Source organism: Homo sapiens, chromosome 2 (assembly GCF_000001405.40).
Source record: "Homo sapiens chromosome 2, GRCh38.p14 Primary Assembly".
Taxonomy (NCBI): Eukaryota; Metazoa; Chordata; class Mammalia; order Primates; family Hominidae; genus Homo; species Homo sapiens.
The window spans coordinates 21,773,556-21,795,005 of record NC_000002.12 but is presented as its reverse complement, the minus strand read 5'-3'; positions in this window follow the sequence as shown (position 1 = coordinate 21,795,005).

Here is a 21,450-nt window from a genome sequence, read left to right as displayed (position 1 = left end):
GAACTAGGGAAGGAAGCACACCCTGAAATGAGTGGCCACCCTCTATCCATTTTAGTGCTACCAGGCTAGAAGATTCCTGACTTAACCAGCTCTGAGCTAATGTAGACAAGAGATCCTGGCTGTGGGATTTACTTTCTCATTTTTATTTGAGACTTGAAAATACTGGCATAATCCAGCTTTGATTCCAGGAAAATCACACCGTGGCACAGTGTAAGGGTGTCATCAGGTGCTCACAGCCCAGTAACACTATTTGGAACAGAAGAAGGAATATAAATAAAAGAAACCAAGTGCATTAGCAACTCACTTTCCTCCATATGTTATCATAATCGCAGCTTTCCTTCTTTTCCACATGGCCTCAGACTCTCTAAAATGCAACATCTCATCATTTGTTTTTGTTTTTGTTTGTTTTCTAGTATATGTTACAGAGAAAGAAGAAAATGGGGTTCTTTTTACTACACAGAAGAAAGACACACGGTTGAAGGAGCAGGGAGTCAGTGAAAGTGTCTGATAAATAAAGCCACTGTCGAGCGGTCTCTGGGAGAACGCGTTATGCTGTGTGCAAAGTGAGCAGTGCCTGAGCCTATTTCACTGGGTCAATTTCCTTGGAACCAAGCCTTGAAAGCCATACACTGCAGATTATCATAAATACAGTTTTACTTCTGCTGTTTGTTTTGCTTCTTTTTTTAATCCCCTTTTTTCCCTACCAAAAACAGAAAAACAAAATCATACTTATATCTCATAGTTTCTCTGAGGCAAGGAGGAAGACAGTCATGTATTCCCACTTTTACAGGATCAAAGATGAGAAGACAGTCATTATTTGCCATTGGGCTGGAAACTACTTACTGGGAAGACCAATGACACCTTTACTACCTAGTCATTGTGTTTTCCTAACAGCCTTTAGAGAGGACCCCCCAAAAGCTAACAAATGTCCACATCCTTGTACAAATAAACAATTGATACATATAAAATGGAGATCGATGTATCAAGCAGAGCTATCTTCTCCTCTCCCTGTTGATTCTCCTTCCCTACGTTATCTGATTAAATCACTTGGATGACGTATTTAAGAAAAGAATCATTCCAAATAGTTTTCTTTGTCTTGCCTTTTATGTCTCCTAAATTCAGCCGTTACAGATTCATAGGTATTATAAAATATTTTCTTTAAAAGTCTAGATATTGTTGAAGAAGAAAGAAAAGCAAGAGTGTGAATTTAAATCATCAGCTTGCTTTCCTCCTAACTCTTTCAAAAGCACCATGTAGACAGAGTTTTGAATGGCTGGAGGAAAGAATATTACGGTTTGTGGGTTATTTTAGAGATTTTGGACTTGGATATGCCACTGGAGTCTAGGACTTCAGCCAAGAAAAAGAAGTGAGAGCATGCTTTCCCCTTGATAAACAAGGGTCAGACAGTAGAGAGAGAGAGAACATAAAGGAATACAGGGGGTGCCAAAATTCAACTTCTGCCTATCCAATGCAAGATATCCAACAGAATAGAACACTTTCAGAGAGTGGCAGCATTCTAATTATCATGTTTCTTTAGGATAATACTGTTTATTATTAACAAAGAAAGTATCTAGAAACACTTCTTAGCTAAGTTGATTCTTGACTAGAGCAGCCTCTTCCAGATTTCTAGTGCATTTTTTTTGGTTGTTGTTGCATTTTGCTTTATTATTATTACAATGTGCTTGGTTTGAAAGCATTTTTGTTTTCACATAGTTGATATTTTCAAATATCTCTCTGTGGAACTCCTCCCTCGAAATTTTACTCACCAGCATTGTATGATATAAGAAATGCTATCATCCTCCCAAAGCAGACACAGCTCTGAGCTAAAATGTGTTTTTCTCAGCCTTAGGTCATCGGGCTCAGTTGCATATTTTGTGTTCTCTGTCTTGTTCTTTTCTTTGCCCCCACTGACCTGAAGTTCATGTCTCCTTTTGTTTCTGGCATGTTGCTACTTAGCATGTCTTCAGTAAATAAAGATTTGGAGTATTACAGTTTTTTTTCTTTTCATACTGCTGCACTCAATGAGAACTTTCTGTTGCTTCTTTCTCCAATCAGAATGTCTTAAAGGCTACAGGTTAATCCTTCCTTCTTGTTAGATGCTTTTATTCAAGAGCATCCTGATTCTGGAAGATTCAGTTTTCAGTGGTTATTTTTAGTACTCAATTGATTCAAGCATCTTCCAAATTCTGAGAAAAAAAAAATCACTTCAACCAAGAGATCCTATCAATCACAGCATGGTTTGCATGCTTATTTAGCTGGTTAGTAATTAAAGGCAGCTAAAAATACCAGACATGCATGAATGGTGTGATTTTTATATCTTAGCTTCTTCCCAGAGAAGATGCAAGACCCATCAATCAAACAGTTGGTAGCTGAAGTCATTATCACTGAAATTAAGGCAATTATACACAAATGAATATTAATGAAGTATCTAGTCAAAATTAGGGTCAGTTTTTAACAGTTAGAAATTGTAGAGAATCTAGGTTCAGTGTTAGTCCATTATAAAATAACTTAAGAACACATTTTTCATATTAAACTGCCACTATAATTATGGGGACTCCATCACATCTACGTTGTTTCTTATTTTAAAGAGAAATAGTTTTATTCATGCCTTATAGGTTTTATTTTAATATTTCAAAATGGTCTAGAAATCTACATTTCATGTAGTGACATAACACCCCACTGAAAAATAAGTACTTTGGTCTTAGGCATTGTGATTTTATAACTTAAAAAATAATATTCACTGCAATTTACAGCAATGCCTTTATTTATAAAGTAAGGAGCATATACCAGAGGATCTCCATTACTTTTTCAGTCCTTACATTCTATTGTTAAGGATTTAAATGTGGAATAAGGATATGCCACCTTGGAAAGGCAAATACTAGTAAGGTAGTTTATCATTGGATCCTTTGCACGTTATGAAAATGTGAGAATGTAAAAGGTCTGAATTTTCTAGACATGCTTTCACATAATTAAAAGGTAGTAGAAGCTCCTCCAACAGCCTCCAAACATAAATATCATAGTCCACAACTCTAGGGACACTTCACATCAGGATCTATGTGAATTGCTCTTCTGGTGCTGTGCAGTGCACAGCTGTGCAGACATAGATGCTGGACCTCCATAGGGAAGAGGCATTTTATTAACTGTTCCACTTCATGCCACCCATTTAGTAAGCACATAGGGAAAAAAAGAGAGAAAGATGAAGAAAGAAAAAGAAAGCAAGGAAGCAAAAACGAAAACGAGAGAGGGGAGGAGGGAGAGAGGAAAGGAGGGACGGAGGGAATAAGAAAGGAAGGAGGAAGGAAGGAAGGAAGCAAGCAAGCAAGCACTGTTTTGTGACTAAGCGTTGGAAGTAGAAAAGATTTGAACCCAGTTAATCTTTGGGACAGCCATGCCTCCAGCAGCAAATCAACAAACGAGGCCATTAGATAGTCTCTGCAAGGAGCCAAACTCCAGGATCCACCTGTTACAAACACACAGGCCTTTGATGGCTGGCAAACAGGAATGAGACTAAGAGAAGGCAGACTGACCACACAAGGATTCCAAAAGCATAGGTCTGAAGGACAACAGGGCAAAGTGAAAATGATGAGGTGGGGTGGAGAAAAGACAGGAACAACAGGGAAGGCATCATAGTTATCCACAGTTGTATGGGAAGATGCAGTCATTCTGGCTTAATCCCACCGGCTCATTTCTTCAAATCATTGCTATTCTCCCAGAAATCCCAGCTGCGTGAGAAAGACAAGATCATCATAGAACCGTAAGCACTGAAATAAAAGAAAAGTGGCTGGCCTAGGGAATTTGAAAAATTGTCAAACATGGAAGAGAGAATATGGAGTAGATGCTCTCATGTTCCTCAGAGCCCTGTGCAATATTACAGAATGATTCACTGTCTTTGTGACAGTGTCACAGAGACATACTTCACCAAATAGGGTAAAGTATTTTATATCAGCTTGATAAAATCACAAATATGGGTATATTTAGGGGACATATGGGTATAATATGGGGATAACTGAAATTATCCTTTAATGGACACTATTCACTTCAATGCAGATTAACAACCCCTGCCAATTCTTACATATTTCCTCTTGCAGACTGCCATGGTTACCACTTGAGACCGTCACTACGACAGTTACTACTGTTACTACTTGAGACCCCCATTAGACTGAACGAAGGAGGACAAATGCAGAAATGAAAACTTAAGACAAAAGAAACTGTTTTAAAGGAAGGGTCCAGGGGAAGAAGTAGACAGCTCCCTGCTACCAGTGAGCAAAGGCAGTCCTGAGCTTCTATAGCCCTTCTTATTTATTGGGTAGAAAGAGCAGGGAGGAGGTGGTAAAGATTGGGCAGCTGCTTAATTGATCACAGGTTCATGTTATTGCTAACAGGCTTCAGATGTGCCTAATTACAAGAAACACTTGTGCCTGGGTCGTGACTGCCCTCAGCATTCCTTCTGGGTGGCAGACGCAGTTTGTCAGTTTGCCAACATCCTGCTTTCATGAGAACAGTTTGCGGTTTACTCATGTAGCCTCCAGTGGTATACTGAGTTGATCGTTACCCTCACTCTTTCGGCCTGCAAAAATTTCCCATTTTAATTCATTCATTTTCTCAATCTTGGGTGCTGTTTAGAATACTCCAAGGAGGTGAAACATTTGTGTAAGGCGTATATATACATATGTGTGTGTGTATATATATAGTAATATATAGTGTGTGTATGACTAAACATATATATACACACACACCTTAGTATATTACACCTCACTAGATTACACTTTGTAAATATTTCATTTTTTATAAATTTTTACAAATGGAAGATTTGTGGCAACACTGCATAGAGCAAATCTATTGGTGTCATTTTTCCAAGTGCATATCTGTGTCACATTTTGGTAAGTCTAGCAATATTTCAAATTTTCATTAGTATTATATCAGTTATGGTGATTTGTGATCAGTGATCTTTGATGTTACTAATCATTTTGGGGTGCCACAAACTGCTCCCATATGAGACAGGGAACTTAATAAATGTTAAGTGTGTTCTGACTAATCTGCCCAGCAGTTGTCGTCTTGTCTCTCTCCCTCTCTTCAGGTCTTCCTATTCCTTAAGACACAAAAATATTGAAATTAGGCCATTAATAACCTTGCAATGACCTCTAAGTGTTCAAGTGAAAGACAGAGTCACCCCTCTCTCACTTTAAATTGAAAGCAAGAAATGATTACGCTTAGTGAGAAAGGATATTGAAAATCCAGATAGGACAAAAGCAAGGTCTCTTGCACCAAACAGCCAAATTATGAATGCAATGGAAAAGTTCTTAAAGGAAATTAAAAGTGCCACTCCAGTGAACACAAAAATGATCAGAAAGCAAAATAGTCTTAGTGCTGATATGGAGAAAGTTTGAATGGTCTGGATAGATAAAACCAGCCACAACATTCCCTTAAGCCCAAGCCAAATTCAACAAAAAGCCCTAACTCTCTTTAATTCTATAAAAGCCGAGAGGTAGGAAGCTATAGAAGAAAAGTTCGAAGCCAGCAGAGGTTGGTTTATGAGGTTTAAGGAAAGAAGCCATCTCCATAACATAAAAGTGCAAGGTGAAGCAGCAAGTACTGATGTAGAAGCTACAACAAGTTATCCAGAGGATCTAGCTAAGATCATTTATAAAAGTAGCTGCATTAAACCACCAATTTTCAATATATGAAACAACCTTCTATCAGAATAAGATGTCCTTTAGGTCTTTCATAGCTAGAGAAGAGAAGTCAAAGCCTGGCTTCAACCCTGCAAAGGTCAGGCTGATTCTCTTGTTAGGGGCTAATGTACTTGGTGACTTTAAGTTGAAGCCAATGCTCATTTACCATTTTGAAAATTTTAGGGCCCTCAAAAATTATGGTAAATTTACTCTGCCTATGCTCTACGTATGGGGCAAAAAAGGCATAGGTGACGGCACATCTGTATACAGCATGGTGTACTGACGACTATTTAAAGCACTATATGGAGATATACTGTTCAGAAAAAAAAATCCATTCAATATATTACTTCTCATTGACAGTGGACCTAGTAAACCAAAAGCTCTGATGGAGATTAACAAAGAGATTAATGATATGTTCATGCCTGCTAACACAACATTCATTCTGCAGCTATGGATCAAGAAGTAATTTTGAATTTGAAGTCTTATTATTTAAAAAACACATTTTATGAGGCTTAACTGCCATAGATAGAGATTTCTCTGATGGATCTGGGCAAAGCAAACTGAAAACCTTCTGGGAAGGATTTCAGATGCCATTAAGAACATTCATAATTCATGGGAGGAGGTCAAAAGATCAAAATTAACAGGAGGTGAGACGTTGATTCCAACTCTCATGGATGAATTTGAGGGTTCATGACTCCAGTGGAGGAAGCAACTGCAGATATGGGGGAAATAATAAGAGAACTAGAATTAGATCTTGAAGATGTGACTAAATTGCTGCAACTTCATGATAAAACTTTAAGGCATGATGATTTGCTTCTTATGGATGAGGAAAAGAAGTGGTGTCTTCAGAGTATCCATGCTGGTGAAGATGCTGTGAACATTGTTGAAATGGCATCTAGGTACTTAGGATATTATGTGAACTAGTTAAGAAAGCAGCAGAATTTGAGAAGATTGACCCCTATTAAGTTCTACTGTGTGTAAAATGCTATCAAACATCATTCCATGCTACACAGAGAAATATTAAAGAGTCAACTGATGTGGCAAGCTTCATTGTTGTCTTATTTTAAGGAATTGCCACAACTACCCCAACCCTTCAGCAACCACCACCCTGATCAGTCAGCATCCATCAACATTGAGGCAAGATCCTCCACCAGCAAAGAGATCATGACTCAGTGAAGGCTTAGATGATCATCACCACATTTTTTTTAGCAAGAATGTATTCTTTAAGACATGTACATTTTTTAGACATGATGCTATTGCAAACTTAATAAACTGCCGTATAGTTTAAACTAACTTTAATATGCACTGGGAAAGCAAAAATTCATGTAACTCACTTTATTGGGAAACTCACTTTATTGGGACACTCACTTTATTACAGTAATCTGGAACTGAATCTGCAATAGTTCTGAGGTATGTAAGTGCATATATATATATGCATACCTGTCCTCCACAATTTTCAGTTTGCAGGTAGTATTCAGAATGATTGTTCTGAACAGTAGATTGTCAGTGGGTAAATATTGTATCTTATTTATCCACAGCCCACACACTGTGGATTCTAGGTAAATGTTTGTTTTAAATTAAAAAGTTTACTTTTAAAAAAATGAATTATACAATCAATGGAATATTTAGATAAATGAAGCACATTTACAGTATTTGTGGTCAGTGCTATAATAGACCTTCTTTCAGGGGGCTGTGAACCTCAGACAAAGGACACCACTGCCTCACTAGGCATTATAGTTGTCCTAATATGGAGCCCAGGCACATTTCCTACTTCTACATTAAGAACCTATTCAGGACAGGGAGATGCCAGGATAATTAACAAATATAAGAGTTGTGGCGATGGGGCTTGCTCTCTTCCAAAAAGTCACATTGGGAAGAATTTGGCTGATTCAACAGTGCACTCTCATTCAAAATATTTTAAAATATACTATTTGGGAACTAAGTCACTGATAAACGCATAAATGATATTAACAGAGATTCACCTTCAAGTGTCTCTTAATATAACACTTAAGAAAGAATCCCAGATCACATTCAGAAAATCCTGTGGGTCTCCAAATTCTAAATTCCAGGAATAATTTGCTGTTTTCCTGATAGCATCTACCCTAAGTTATTTTCATAGAGATAGTCCTTCTGATATACAGCAACATGGCAAAGGAAGAATCATTAGACAGTTTTAATTTTAATTACATTACTGTGAAATCATGTAATAAATAGGCTTAATATAAAATTTACATGATTTGAATGATGCCAGTTCCACCCATATGCCTACCTTTTCATGCACTTATGTATTTTTAAACATTTTAAATAATGACTTATTTCAAAGACACAGAAAATCACAGGAAATTATATCATAGCTATATGTACATTCAATACCAAAATGAAAAAGATATATATATTTTGTCAAATGGCTTCAGCTCTTCTTTTTGGTTTAAAAGAAAGATAATTTTACAGATTTAGCAAAATACCTGCCTCTGGATCTCTTCCCTTCCTCTCTCCCTAGAGATAACTAGTCTTCTATGGGTCAGATAGGTATTATTCATTGTTTTATACTCTTACTATAGTTTATGTATAAATATTAGACATACAACATATAATACATTATAATATAATGTGTTTATGAACGTATACTTTGCATTCCAGACTCTAAAACACTATCAAAGTTTGCACTATAACCAAATTCCAAATTATGTTTCTGTTGGTTCATAAAGTTGTAGGTCATGCATTTTAATGGCAATAGAGTACTCCAAGGCATGAACTAATTAGTTTATTAATTTATTTTACTGTGTACCAGTGAGACGGATTTTATTTTTTTACTCTTACCAAGATTTTTTCAGCAATCATGTGGCAGCATATATTTTGTGCATGTTTGAGAATTGAAGAACACACTTTTGATTTAGTTGGGATTGCTGAGGTATCTGGTATGTACATTTTTATCTTTACTAGATACTACCAAATTACTCTCCAAAATGATTGTAATTGTGTCAATTTATTCTCTCGGCATAAAGTTTCCAATTTCCACATAATTTTTCTAAGATTTATTTTTATCATATTGTAATTTCAGTAAATTTAATGGATGAAACATTATCTTACATTGGTTTTGACACTTTTTGCTCTTGTTCAAAATTCTAGTTTGTCTTTTCTTTGTTATAGTTGATTTAACATAAAAAATGTATGAATATCCATAATATTATGAATAAATTAATTTACATGCACACCCACATGTGTATGTTTGGAATCTATTCCCTTCTATTTTATGCTCCTCATTTACCATGATTTCTCTTTGCTTCAGTGTTACCTTAATTTCCTCTTTCCATTGTATCACCTATATACATATATACATGTGTGTGTGTATATATACACACACACACACATACATATATATATATATATTTGCTCTTCCTGTTCTGTAGTGTGCATGCTTACCAAAATCTAAAGTTGATCACATCATTACCCACCTCCTGAATGAAGCACATACCCCTGGGTGCTTTAACTCTGATCAGCCTCCTTCCAGCTTTCTTGTGATGATTTCTAGTGATATAATTTCACTTTATTTTTATAAGATAATTTTACCCTTCTTTATAAAACTTTATGTATATATATTAGCCGTTTGCTTACAAATTTACTTGCTCATCATGTTTTTGCATTCTACTTCATCCGTTGATTTTTTTCAAAGTTATTCTTTGTGAAGTGCATCCATTTAGTAATTCATTCCATAAGAGTCTGTGAATGGTAAAGTCTCTCCAACTTTATTTTTCTGAAAATATATCTTATTTTCTTTCACTCTATTTGAATCCTATGTTGCTTTTTGTTGCAATTTATTCCCATTTCAAGGCTGCAATATCCTCTTTGATCTCTTTCAGGGCATTCATAATGGTTTCATTTTCTTTTGTTCCCCCCCGTTCTATATAGTCCCTGTTTCCTCCAAGTTACCTGATTCTTTTTACTTTGGTACCTTTGTTTCTGGTTGGAGGATCTTCTCAACGTCTGGTAAATCTTCATTGTCTTCTCACAATTAAGAGTAAAAGGGTGGAGAACTGTAAAGCTGATGAGAAGCACTGATGGGCAAGGACATGGTGTTGGCTCCACCATCACACAGGATGATCTGGGAATCAGCCCTGTCATCACCGCACACTCTCTTCCGGCCTTCCCTCTTGGGCTAGCTAGGTGGTATAGGAGAAAGCCTCCCAATCTTCTGCCTGGGTGAGGACACGGCCTCCAAGTTTCCAGAAGCCAGACTGGGAGAGGTGGGTCAGGGGACTTAGATGGAGCATTCTTTATGTACATTTTCCTGTTCATCCCATGATTGTGCCTGGATCCCCCCATTTCAGGGACCATTCCTTTCACCATCTCTAGAGAATAAACTTCCAGACTTCTTCTGGGATGAGGATGGCTTAGTGGCCTAAAGTCATGGAGTAAAAGAAAGCATCTACATTCTCAAGCAGATTTTACCAAATCTTAATTTCTTTAAGAATTCATCTATATATTTAAAATGTTTAACAGCATTTTTGTTAAATAGCATCTGACTTTGTAAATGGTTGTTTTAGGTGAATTTCACAGTGAACTGGTTATATGAATGCTAACTCTGGGCCACGGGCTCCTCCTCACACTATTCCCATTTATTAGGCATTACTGTCCACATTTCCCAGATGAGAAAACTGAGACACAGAGGAGACAAATTACTCTCTGAATAAGATTTAACTAACAGAGCTCAACAGAGCTGGGATTTAAAACCAATGTTTGCCCATCTCCAAAGCCCATTTACAGTTGCCAATCACCCATGAACATCAATAAGATCTACAGAAAGGGCCAGCTCCCTAAAGGGTTGCAAAGCTATGTGACACATATGCACTTGTGGGTGCCTGCTTATGTGTAGATGCATATGTGTGGGTGGAAAGTGTTTAAGACATGGTATTATTATGATACTTGGTTCAAACAGTGCCACTTTTCACTGATTTCTTTTCTTCCTCCCTGCTCATTCAACGGTGTCTAATAAACACCTTATTTCCCTTCTCACTGACTTTCTATTTATTCAGTATTTTCTGCCCAAGATACCTATTGTGTTCAGGTGATCAATGTCACAGCATGCAACTGCTTTGTAACACTAGGGACTCCGAACAATAATTTTACTTTGAAGCAAAAAAGTAGTGGGGATGAGAAGGGTGGGAAAGCTATGCAGAGACATCACAGAAAATGAATGTGTGTGAATCTATAAGTTTCCAAGTGAAGCCACAATATGTGTAATGTTGCACTTTTGTTGAATCGATGGCCATTCATGAAGTGCATCTGTAAGTCTTTCAAAGATAGAAGCATCATCGTAAATATGCTCTTATTTCATGTGCCTATCATAATAGGTACAGAGTAGTCAGCCAATACATGTTACCCTTTGATTCATGCTAATATTGTTTATTTTTTAACACTTCCAAGTGAGTGGTGTGTTCTTAGGAAAGTACTTTGTTTTATTCATCAGCTATAACAAATCATGAATTTTTACTTCTCAGAGATATCCTTGTTCCCTTTCCTCCTGCTATGGAATAATCAAGGTCAGGTCTTGAGCTCAGGATCTGCATTTTATACCCATTCTACATTTATCAATGTGCTAGCTCAGTGAGTTGCACACAGTAGGCCCACAGCATGTACATCATTAACAACAAAGATTTTTATCTCTTTGGAAAAATATAATTTACATTTAGTTACAGCTTTCTGGCTGTAAATTGCTGGCCTAGCCGATGGGGCAGAAGACAGAGTACACAGCCAGTCCTAGAGAAATCTGTATTATATGGCCCCCTCCCCAGGCTCAGGAAAAGGAAAGTGAAGAATGCCTGTACTAGTGATCTTCATTGGACTAGTTATTTGTCATATCTCCACTAAATTTCACATTTTTCTAGAAGTTAGCCATGGTAATTCTAACTAAAGCAGAATCCACTTTTTTCTCCTTGCCACCTTATTCTCGCTACACCTACTTAGATTGCATTAGAATATTTAATTATTTTTAGTTGATTTATAACTGTCTTTTCTTCTAGACCATAAGCATCATAAGGTTAAGCAACAAGTCTTTTTCATATATCCCCAAATAATTAGAGATTCAATGTTTATTTAATGAATGCACAATTCAGTGAAGTCCTTCTTTCTCCTTCCTCGTTTAACCCAGAATTGTTAACTCTTATTCAAAGTATAGAACAACCACTCGACCTGCCACAACTTAATTTCCATGCTTAGCACAAGCTTCCCAGGCAACACACCCAGGGAATTGTGTTTCAGAGAGTTGCGGGGGCTCTCTGCAGTCGAAATGCTCTTTCCACATGAAATCCCCCGTGCTCTCTCTACAGCACAGTAGCAGTTGAGAAGCAAGTCACTTGTGCAAAGTCTGAAAGACTATTGATAAAAGAAAAAGGATGACATTTGCTTCTGGCAGTTTTACTCAAAGGTATGTGCCTGAAAGTCACAGAAAGATATCACGAGCCATAGGAAATATGAGCAATCTCTGAGGAGGATGTAGGAGAAAGATATTCACAGGGTAGGAGCATTATTTCTCATTCTTGGCAAGAGAAAGCAACACAAAGACTGGAAGAAGAGTGAATGGGACTTGGCAGGTGAGACCAGGAGACAGACTGCAGCAAACTGACGCTCACCTCTCATGGGCTGTGACCTTGAGCCTTACAGGAGCCTCTGTGTGAGTTACAGTCCAGTGGTAAATGGAGCTAAGGCCCACACCTCATTGCAAACACTTGCAGTGATGGTTTAGAAAGGGAGTTAAACAGAATGTGGATGGATAAATCTGATCAGGCAGATGTCTAGTTTGACAAGAGATAGAGAAAAATAGATACATACAAAGGTTCTATGAAAGATATTGGTTGGTGGAAACGAAGAAAATTGCCCTAAATTTTGTTATATCTCAGCTGAGATTTCACGGAAAAATTCACCAGAGAAATTAGCTGAGTCCCAATCAGTGTTCTAATGCAGCCATTTATAGTGCTTCATGCTGCTTCATTGCCCAGGTAATTACTTTTTATCAACCTAAAATTCTCCAGTACTTTCAGCTGGAAAGCTAGTCTTTATTTCCCCACGTTGGAAGTCAGTAGCAAAATGTTATTGACCCGGTTCTCTTGTCATCTTCCACTTGAGTGCAGGTGTGTGTGTAAGAGAGTCCTGTACATTATTTACAGTTGCTTTCATGGATGCTTTTAAAATGATACTCTAATTCCTCTTCCACATGACAGCCTTTCAAGTTTTTCAAGAAAGCTTTATTTCAGCTTCTGAATCTGTCTCCAAGAGAAGTCATATCCTCCATCCCAGTCTTTTCCATGTTCTTCACTTGGCATGAGTCTACACACTTTACCACTTTCAGCACTCAATCTCCCAGAAGGTATAAACACTTTTTAAATTAGAGACACCCAGAATTGAACACAAAATCTTGGCAATGAAAAATGCAGTGGGCCATGAGCTTCCCTTGATCCTGATCCCTCACTTCTACCATTATACCCAAAGATTCCTTTACCTTTTTAGCAACCATATCATACCGCTAAACCTGCTATAATAATGACCTACCTAGTGCTTACTACATGCCAGGCACTGCTCTAAGTACTTTACGTGTCTTAACTCATTTAATTAGTCTTATGGATAGATAGAAAGGAGGATGTATTATTATATTAATAAAAGGGAGAGTGAATGAGTGAAGATTGTGTCCTAAGAATAACTTCATTTATCACATTCATTTATTCATTCAATAAACATTGAAAGTAAAGTTTTAAAAATAATTTCATATGGTCAAGTTATCAGTCAGGGTTCAATGAGAGAATCAGAACTTCTTGGAGTAATACAGATTAAAGGGTTGATTACAGGGAGCTGACTATAAGATTGCAATCTGGTTAACCAGTCTATGTATGACTTTTGCTTTTGTACATGGTGCTGAGGCCTGAAGTCCACAAGGCAGGGATTCAGGATGGAAAGATGGATTTGAAACTCTGTAGAGAAAGAACAAATGGGAATCATAGAATATTCCAGAACTCATGATGGTAAACAGGCACCTTTATTAATTTCTTACTGCTTCCAAGCCTTCAACTTGGATAATGCGTCACCATACAGAAGAAGCTGGTGCCCTTCCTCATGGAGCTAAACATGTACCTAACACAGCAGTTGGAGATGCTCATGAAAGAGATCCAGTGGTTGCCAGAGGAGGAGCTGCAGGCCTGGTTACTGCCCAGGCCAATATGGTGAGCTAGCAGACCTGTGTCCACCTGTGTTAACTTCAACAGCACCTGAGCCTACACCCACCTTCTGATTATAAAAATGGCCTGCAGAAGTTTCTTTGGCAGCTAGTTCTAACCCAGAACCATACATTGAGAATTCTGAGAGATGAAATAATGACACTCTGTGAGAAGCCTAGGTAAGAAAGGGGTGGTAAAGGGTTTGAGAAATAACTCCTGGTGAGTATTGAGCCCTGACTCCTATTAATTTCAGCCATGAACATTTACTCCTTTATATGATGTGAGCCAAGAAATCTCTTTGTGTGGTTAAACTCGATGAACTTGGAATGTCTTAACCTTGACATTTGAAGAGATCTAATCAATGCATATATTGCATGGAAAACTGGAGTATTTACTGTGGGATGTAAACTGGGAGAAGGTAATTCATTTAGTAAAAGCAGTGTCTAATACATGTACATCCTCAAAGCAATAAATGAATGAATGAGAGTTTCAAAAATGAGAAACATTATCATATATACATGTTGAAAGTATAAGGTCATTAGGATTGACTTTTCTCCATGAATTCCATTCTCATTAAAAGTGCCTCCAAATGAGTTAGGCATCATTGTAGTTCCCAAATAGACTTTATGGAACAATTTTCCTGCCATTTCTTGTCATCAAAGTGACGATAGAACTTTCCAACACTATAAAGACCAAGACATCTGTGTCCAGTTTATGTATTTATTTTCCTTTAAATGCTCAGCAAAGTGTCTAACGTCATTGTGGGCCAATAATTACAATTAATTAAGGTAAAATTAATCTAATTAAATAATTTGTACTTAAAGCAGATTCCTCTAGTGCTATCAGCTCTGAGATTTCAGGATTATATAGTGCTGGGGGAAAAATGAAGTCCCAGAGATTACTGTATTTTTATATTCATTTATTTTCCTGAATTTAATTTCTCCATTCTTTCACAGTAGTGTTTAGTCAGGATTTTGGGGGGCTCCATAATTAAAAGTGTCTGAAAGCACACTCTCTAGCAGTTCTGACCATCTATGTTTCACTCTGGTGATTTATTAGGGAAAAGAAGAATCTCACAATGAACTCTTTTCAATGATTCAAAGGGAAAACATTTTTCTCAGCACCCCTAGAATGTGCTTCCCAGCTGCTGATTCTGGTTTTGCTGCTTAGGTAACTGCAAGCAGTAGGAAATGCAGGCAGGGCTTTTCCCAGGGAGATGCGTAAAGACTGGCCTGCATGTGAGGAAGCTGAGGAAAATCACAACCATTTTCACCCATATCACACATTCTGCTCTTCACCACAATGTGCCCTGTGTAGTTATTTAAATTGATTTTCTCCAATGTATCAGTTAGCTACATATGCTGAAGACTTGATTAACAGTGGCTTCAACAAGTAGAGGCTTGTTTCTCTTAGATCTCAAGAAGTCTATAGCCAAGGGGCCCACTGACAATTGTTTAGAAGCATAGTTCTAGAAATCCAGATCCTCTTCCTTATGATTCTGTTAACATTTGTCTTACTACAGATACATTAAGGTTTCAAGATGGCTATTATAACTTCGGAGTTCATGTTCACGTCAGGGCAGGGGCTGAGAGGTGGGGAAAACAAGGCCACAATGTCAATTGCATTTATTGGCATTGGTTCTAAGAAGCAAACATCTTCCTAGGACATTCCGCAGACTTCACTTATGTCTCAATGGAAAGACTGTCATGTGGCCACCCCTATGGCACTGGAGGCTGGGGTTCTCTCCGTCAGTTAAAAAGGGAAAATGGACCCTGGGAAGGTAACTAATGACTGGCTATTTTTTCCTAAATAGTTATGAGTTCCTTGAAAGCAGAAACTAAGTTCCATACTTCCTTCACATTATCTTTTTACTTATTTTTTTTCATATCTTCATTTGCCTTTACTGACCATAAGTGGGAGGGAATTGGCCCATGACACCTGATGACTTATTTAAATCAAAAATGAATCAGGTCAGGCTCAGTGCCTCATGCCTATTATCCCAACACTTTGGAAGTCCAAGGGGGAAAGTTTGCTTTTGAAACCAAAAATCCAAGATCAGCCTGTGCAACATAGCAAGACCCCATCTCTAAAATAAACACATACATACATACATACATACATATTCAGGCACTGTAGCTCACAGCTGCAGTCCCAGCTACTCAGGAGGCTAATGCAGGAGGATTGCTTGAGCCCAGGAGTTCGAGGTGGTGGTGAGCTATAGTCATGCCACTACACTCCAGCCTGGGCAACAGAATGGGACCCTTTTTTAAAAAAAAAATCAGCTTACACATAAAGACACCCACACTTATGATGATTTAATGTTTCAAACTGACAATCAGGTACATGTAGATATTGCCCACTACAAGTTTAGTCAAGTAAGCTGGGAAACCTGAAAGAAGCAAATAAAGACAAACAGCAAAAGGCTCAGATCCTACGAAAAATTTGTGAAATTTTAATAAGCATCCAGGCATAGAAAACAAATCTTACCTGAAAGAGGAAAAGAAATATACTGGTAGACATGATTTTAAAGGCAATGGCAGAATGCCAAGGGATTTTTGAGGGATTAAGAAGGGTAGAGCTCCATAAATATTATTTTTCGTGACACTGACAGATATAGAAATATAAGCTTAAATATGTTGCTTAAAATATGAAAGAAGCTACCACAACAACTAAAATATGACATGTAATTTTAAAGCTAGGAAAAAAATAAGGAAAAACAAAATTTAAACAAAAGTAAAATGATAGAAAAGGAAACATCTAGAATAGCATAGAAACAAAAGGCAAAGCACACGTCAGACTTAGACTTCCAATTCAAGTTATTTGTTTCCATCAAGAACAATTAGTAAAGTTGGATAAAATAGGGAAAAAAATCATCTATATAAAGACACGTGTGCTGATGAGGCTATCTGCACTTGAATGTCCAAGAGAAGAGAAAAAGTAGAGAGAATGAGTCAACATTCTGCAAGCCACTTTCCTCCTCAGGGATGTTCCTAACTTTAGAGAGCAAGAGGATAGCAGACTAATCATAAATCCACAGTAAATGACTGATATTTAGCAATCTTACATGATAGAAGAGAGTTGAGGCCCACAAAGGATGGCAGGATATGAAAAGCCAAGATTTCAAAGGAAAGAGAGGTGCAGAGACCCTAGCCCAACACTGGTGGTTCTGAGGCATTTGCTGAATTTCAAGCTGTGCAGGGTAGGAGAGGCTAATCAGAAAAACCACTGAAATCTACAGCTGAGGTTTTGGAAGTATCATCTTACTGAGGAGGCAAAATTGGAGTCCAGGGCCTGCCAAGAATAGAGGTCCTAGTAAACATCGCAGTCTTTCAGCTGGGGACACTAGAGAGCTTACCCTGGGAGCCTGTATGAACCAAAGGTTGACTTGAGTCTTTCAACCCATCTATAATCAGTGTCTGGTTGGAACAAGAGAATAAGCTGATATATTTCCATCTATCCCTAGAGCAGAAGATGAGTCTTCTAATAAAGTCTTCCTAAATAAAGTGTCAAGACTCCAAGAAAGAATTATCAAACCTGCTAGGGTTCTATCTATCTATCTGTTCTATGGTCCACCTGTGTTCCTTATATCTCTTCTCCAAAGGAGTGTGCATTGAAAGATATGTATATTAGCATTTATATCAGTGGTATTTATAACAACCCCAAATTGAAAAAAAAAAAAAACAAACTCGAATGTCCATCAATAGTAGAATGGATCAAAATGCTTTGTGAGAGTTATACAATCAAACACTATCCAACAATGAAACTACAAACTTGCTCTAGCAATACCATGGATGAATGGCACAAAAAAAATAAATAAAAGAAGCCTGATACAATTATATACTGTATGATTTCTTTTATATAAACTTCAAAAACAAGGAAAGTAATCTATGGTAATAGTAGTCTGAATGACTACCTTCAGGTGATGTAATGACTGGGATGTGGCCTGAGGGTAGTTGCATTAAGTAATATATCTTAATCCAGATGACAGTTACATGAGTATAATTCACTTTGAAATATATCATGAGTTTTGTAGTAATGACTCTACAATTTTCTGTGTATTTTTTAGTAGTTAAGAAAAGGTTGAACAAATAAAACAACCACATATATTATTAAAATAAATGAAAACAGGTTGAATCCTCCTAATTAAGACCAACACTGGGACTAAAAAAAAGTTTAATTTATAACTTTTGCAAGAAATACAAATTACACAGAAGGATAATAATAGACAGGCAGATAATGAGAAGTGCATAAGTATACATCACAGATATAGCAGAGATGGTAATATTAAAAACAAAAGTAAAATCATGCAGCAAACATTAACTCTGAAAAAGGAAATGATTTACTAAATGGGATAATTTACAATAAAGACACATCTGTCATAGATCTTGGTTCTGAATTCACTAACTCCAAAGTGTATAAGAAAAGACATAGGAATACAACCAGTTAAAATGAAAAAGAACCATGGTCTTGGGGTAGATTGATATATATTGTTACATTTTTGCAGTTCAATTAGATCAAAATGATAGATATAGTATTAGAATAACACAATTAACATATTAAATCAAGTAGATGATATAAGATGTCTTTTATATAGAACTTTCCTAACAGTGTTCCAATACCCTTGCAAACAAAATATCGTAGCCATAATCATAAATTCTCTATTCACAATGTAATAAAACCAAAAATTTATAGCAAAATGATTAAAAAAACTAATCACTTGGAAATAAAAACAAAATCCTCTGCTAAATAATCTGTAGATCAGAAAATAAATCAAAACTCTGTTACAAGTTATTAAAATTAACTACAATAAGATTGTTATGTATCGCAGTAATCTCATTGTAGCTATTTAGTCACTTACAGGTGTAGTAGAAGCTTTACAAAGAGCAAACTTCATTTACTTAATTATATTTTTCATTAAATAAGAAAGAATACAACTAAATGAAATAAATATTCAACTCCAGAAACTAGAAACTTCCCATCAAAATAAACTTAATAAATTAGTAAATATTAAATTAGAAAATAGTGAAAGTTTCAAAGGCATCTGAAAGCTTTTTAAACAAAATATTAATAATATGTATCCAAACATATCAAGTATATTAATGAAAGGCAAGGAAAAGCAAAATGTAAATTTACAACATAATGAATACTAAAGGGCTCAAAAATCATAGTCATCCGAGACTGCCTGATAATGCTGCCTTTTCGCAGAATTGTAAAGAGCTCTTTTTTCCTTCCTTCAACCTGATCAAAGTATGCTATACATAGTGGAATCTTTTTTAAGTTACCTGGAGATCACCCCTCCGAATGTACAGTGCTGCCGCAGATTTTTCCCCATGGTTATGTTTTCTATTAATAATTTCATCAGACAGGTTTTCTTGTTTATTGTTGTTTTTACCATTGCAAGACCTTTTACCCTTTCTCTTTGTTAGTTTCCAAAGAAAGTTAAAAGCCTAAGGGACAACAGCAGTGTGAACAACTTGTTCCTTTACTATAAGTTGAGCATGCACCTTATACAACACAGTACTGCCTAAGACAGGTCTGCAGCATTGGCTTAATCTCAAGGCTTGGCTCAGTCCTTCACCTGAAGGCCCCTACCTTACCACCTCAGGCCATCTCCTGGGAAGCAGGGATCCCAACACCTCATGAAGAAAGGATAAAAGAAAACAAAAGAGCTATTTATTCAAATCTTGAGCCTTGAGCTAAACATGTAAAGAGGATGAGGCACCTGCACATGTACCCTTTCAATGCACATTGATCTTGCCTATTAGTAAATGAAGATTTTCTAGCATCCTGGAAACTGAACCATCAGATAAGCCAGGAGTCTCCAACCCCAGGCCAAGAACTGGTACTGTGGCCTGTTAAGAACTGGGCCACATAGCAGGAGGTGAGCAGCAGGTAAGCAAGCATTACTGCCTGAGCTTTGCCCCCCTGTCAGATCAGAGTCAGCATAAGGAGCATGAACCCTATTGTGAGCTGCACATCTAATGCCCTGATGATCTGAGGCGGAACAGTTCCATTCCAAAACCATACCTGCCCCAACCCCCAACCCATGTACCCGTCCCTGGTGCCAAAATGGTTGGGAACCATTGAAATAAACAACCCCAGCTGGAGAGGACAGAATGGCAAGGGAAGGAGAAAGCTGCTTTCAGCTACACAATTGTTTTCCCCAGAGGAGAGTGGTCTCAGGCAGGAAAGGCTTCACACAGGCTGAGTAATAAACACACAGCACCTGACCTCAGTGTCAAGGGACTCAAGAGCAGAATGAAACACTGCTCGTGGCAGGGTTAAAGATGTGGATGTAAATTTTCATTTCCTCCTCCTGATAACAGGGTGTGAATAATCAACGTGAGTTTGCTACCACATATAAATGGTTCCTAATGATTGTTTAAATAAGGGCAGCTCTGCTGTTAGCGCACATTATAAAAGCAAAGTTCCTCGGAATAGACCGTGCCTTGAGAACAATATTTTTCTAATTCTTGATACAGAATGGTGAGTTGAACAAACTGTATTTTTATACATCACTGTGAAAACAATTAGTTCTTTTCAGTAAATAAAAAGGCATCTCCAAAGGAAATTCTTTAGAAAATAGTTCATCAACTAAAGCCTAAGGGAATTGAAAGGAAAATAACTGTTGCAGAGGATTTAGAAACTTTTTTTTCTCACCTTCAATTAGAAAAACAATATATTTAACCCCTAGTCTTTACCACTTTGTGGGGCGAGATCATTGCTTTTCTTCTCGATTCTATTCCCCAGCGATTTACTGGGACACCAAGTGCTGAAATTACAAAGATGAATGAAAACCCTGAAGTTTGTCAGAGATAGATCTATAAGCATGTGTAATTCATCTTGCAGTTTCTTCTACTGAGACTTTATTGCAGGGATTTAAAAATATCAGTGAGAATTCTGGCATGTGGAGTCATCAACCAGTAATAACTTTGCATCAAATTCCCCAATGGTCTTTCTGATTGGCAGGTATGCCCAGGCTAAGAAGTAACATTTCCTCCTTCTTAGACTGGTTCTGCCCTCTACATAAAGGAGGCAGCAGCTCTAATGAAAACTCTTAAAGGTAATAGATCTTAATGTACATTCAGTGCCATGTCAATGGCAGATCTCTGCACTATAGATAACAAGTTATAAAGGACTCCCTGGCCGTCTAAAGTTGCTAAACGCAGAGTATAAAATTTCAAGACTAAGTGGAACTTCATAACTATCCTATTTAGTGTTACTTCATTATGTGAAAAGAAACTAAAATTAAAGAAATGTAGATAGTTTGACGAATGCCACCAAATATAAATGGAACTTTCAGAATTCTTGATGCACAACAGTTACTCATTTATTGTGTCAATATCTTTATGATGCTCAACATGATTATTTTATTAATTAGATATATCATGATCCTTTACTTAATTATTGCTTAAAAAATCTTTGACAGTCCCTGAAGCACAGGAGATGCGTGAGAGAACATGAGAAAGATATTGTCTGGATTTTCAAAAGCAGGTAGAAGATATACTGTGGAAATATCTAACTGACAAGTTTTGGCTGATGGCTTCAACATCATGAAGAGTAAGGTGGCAGTG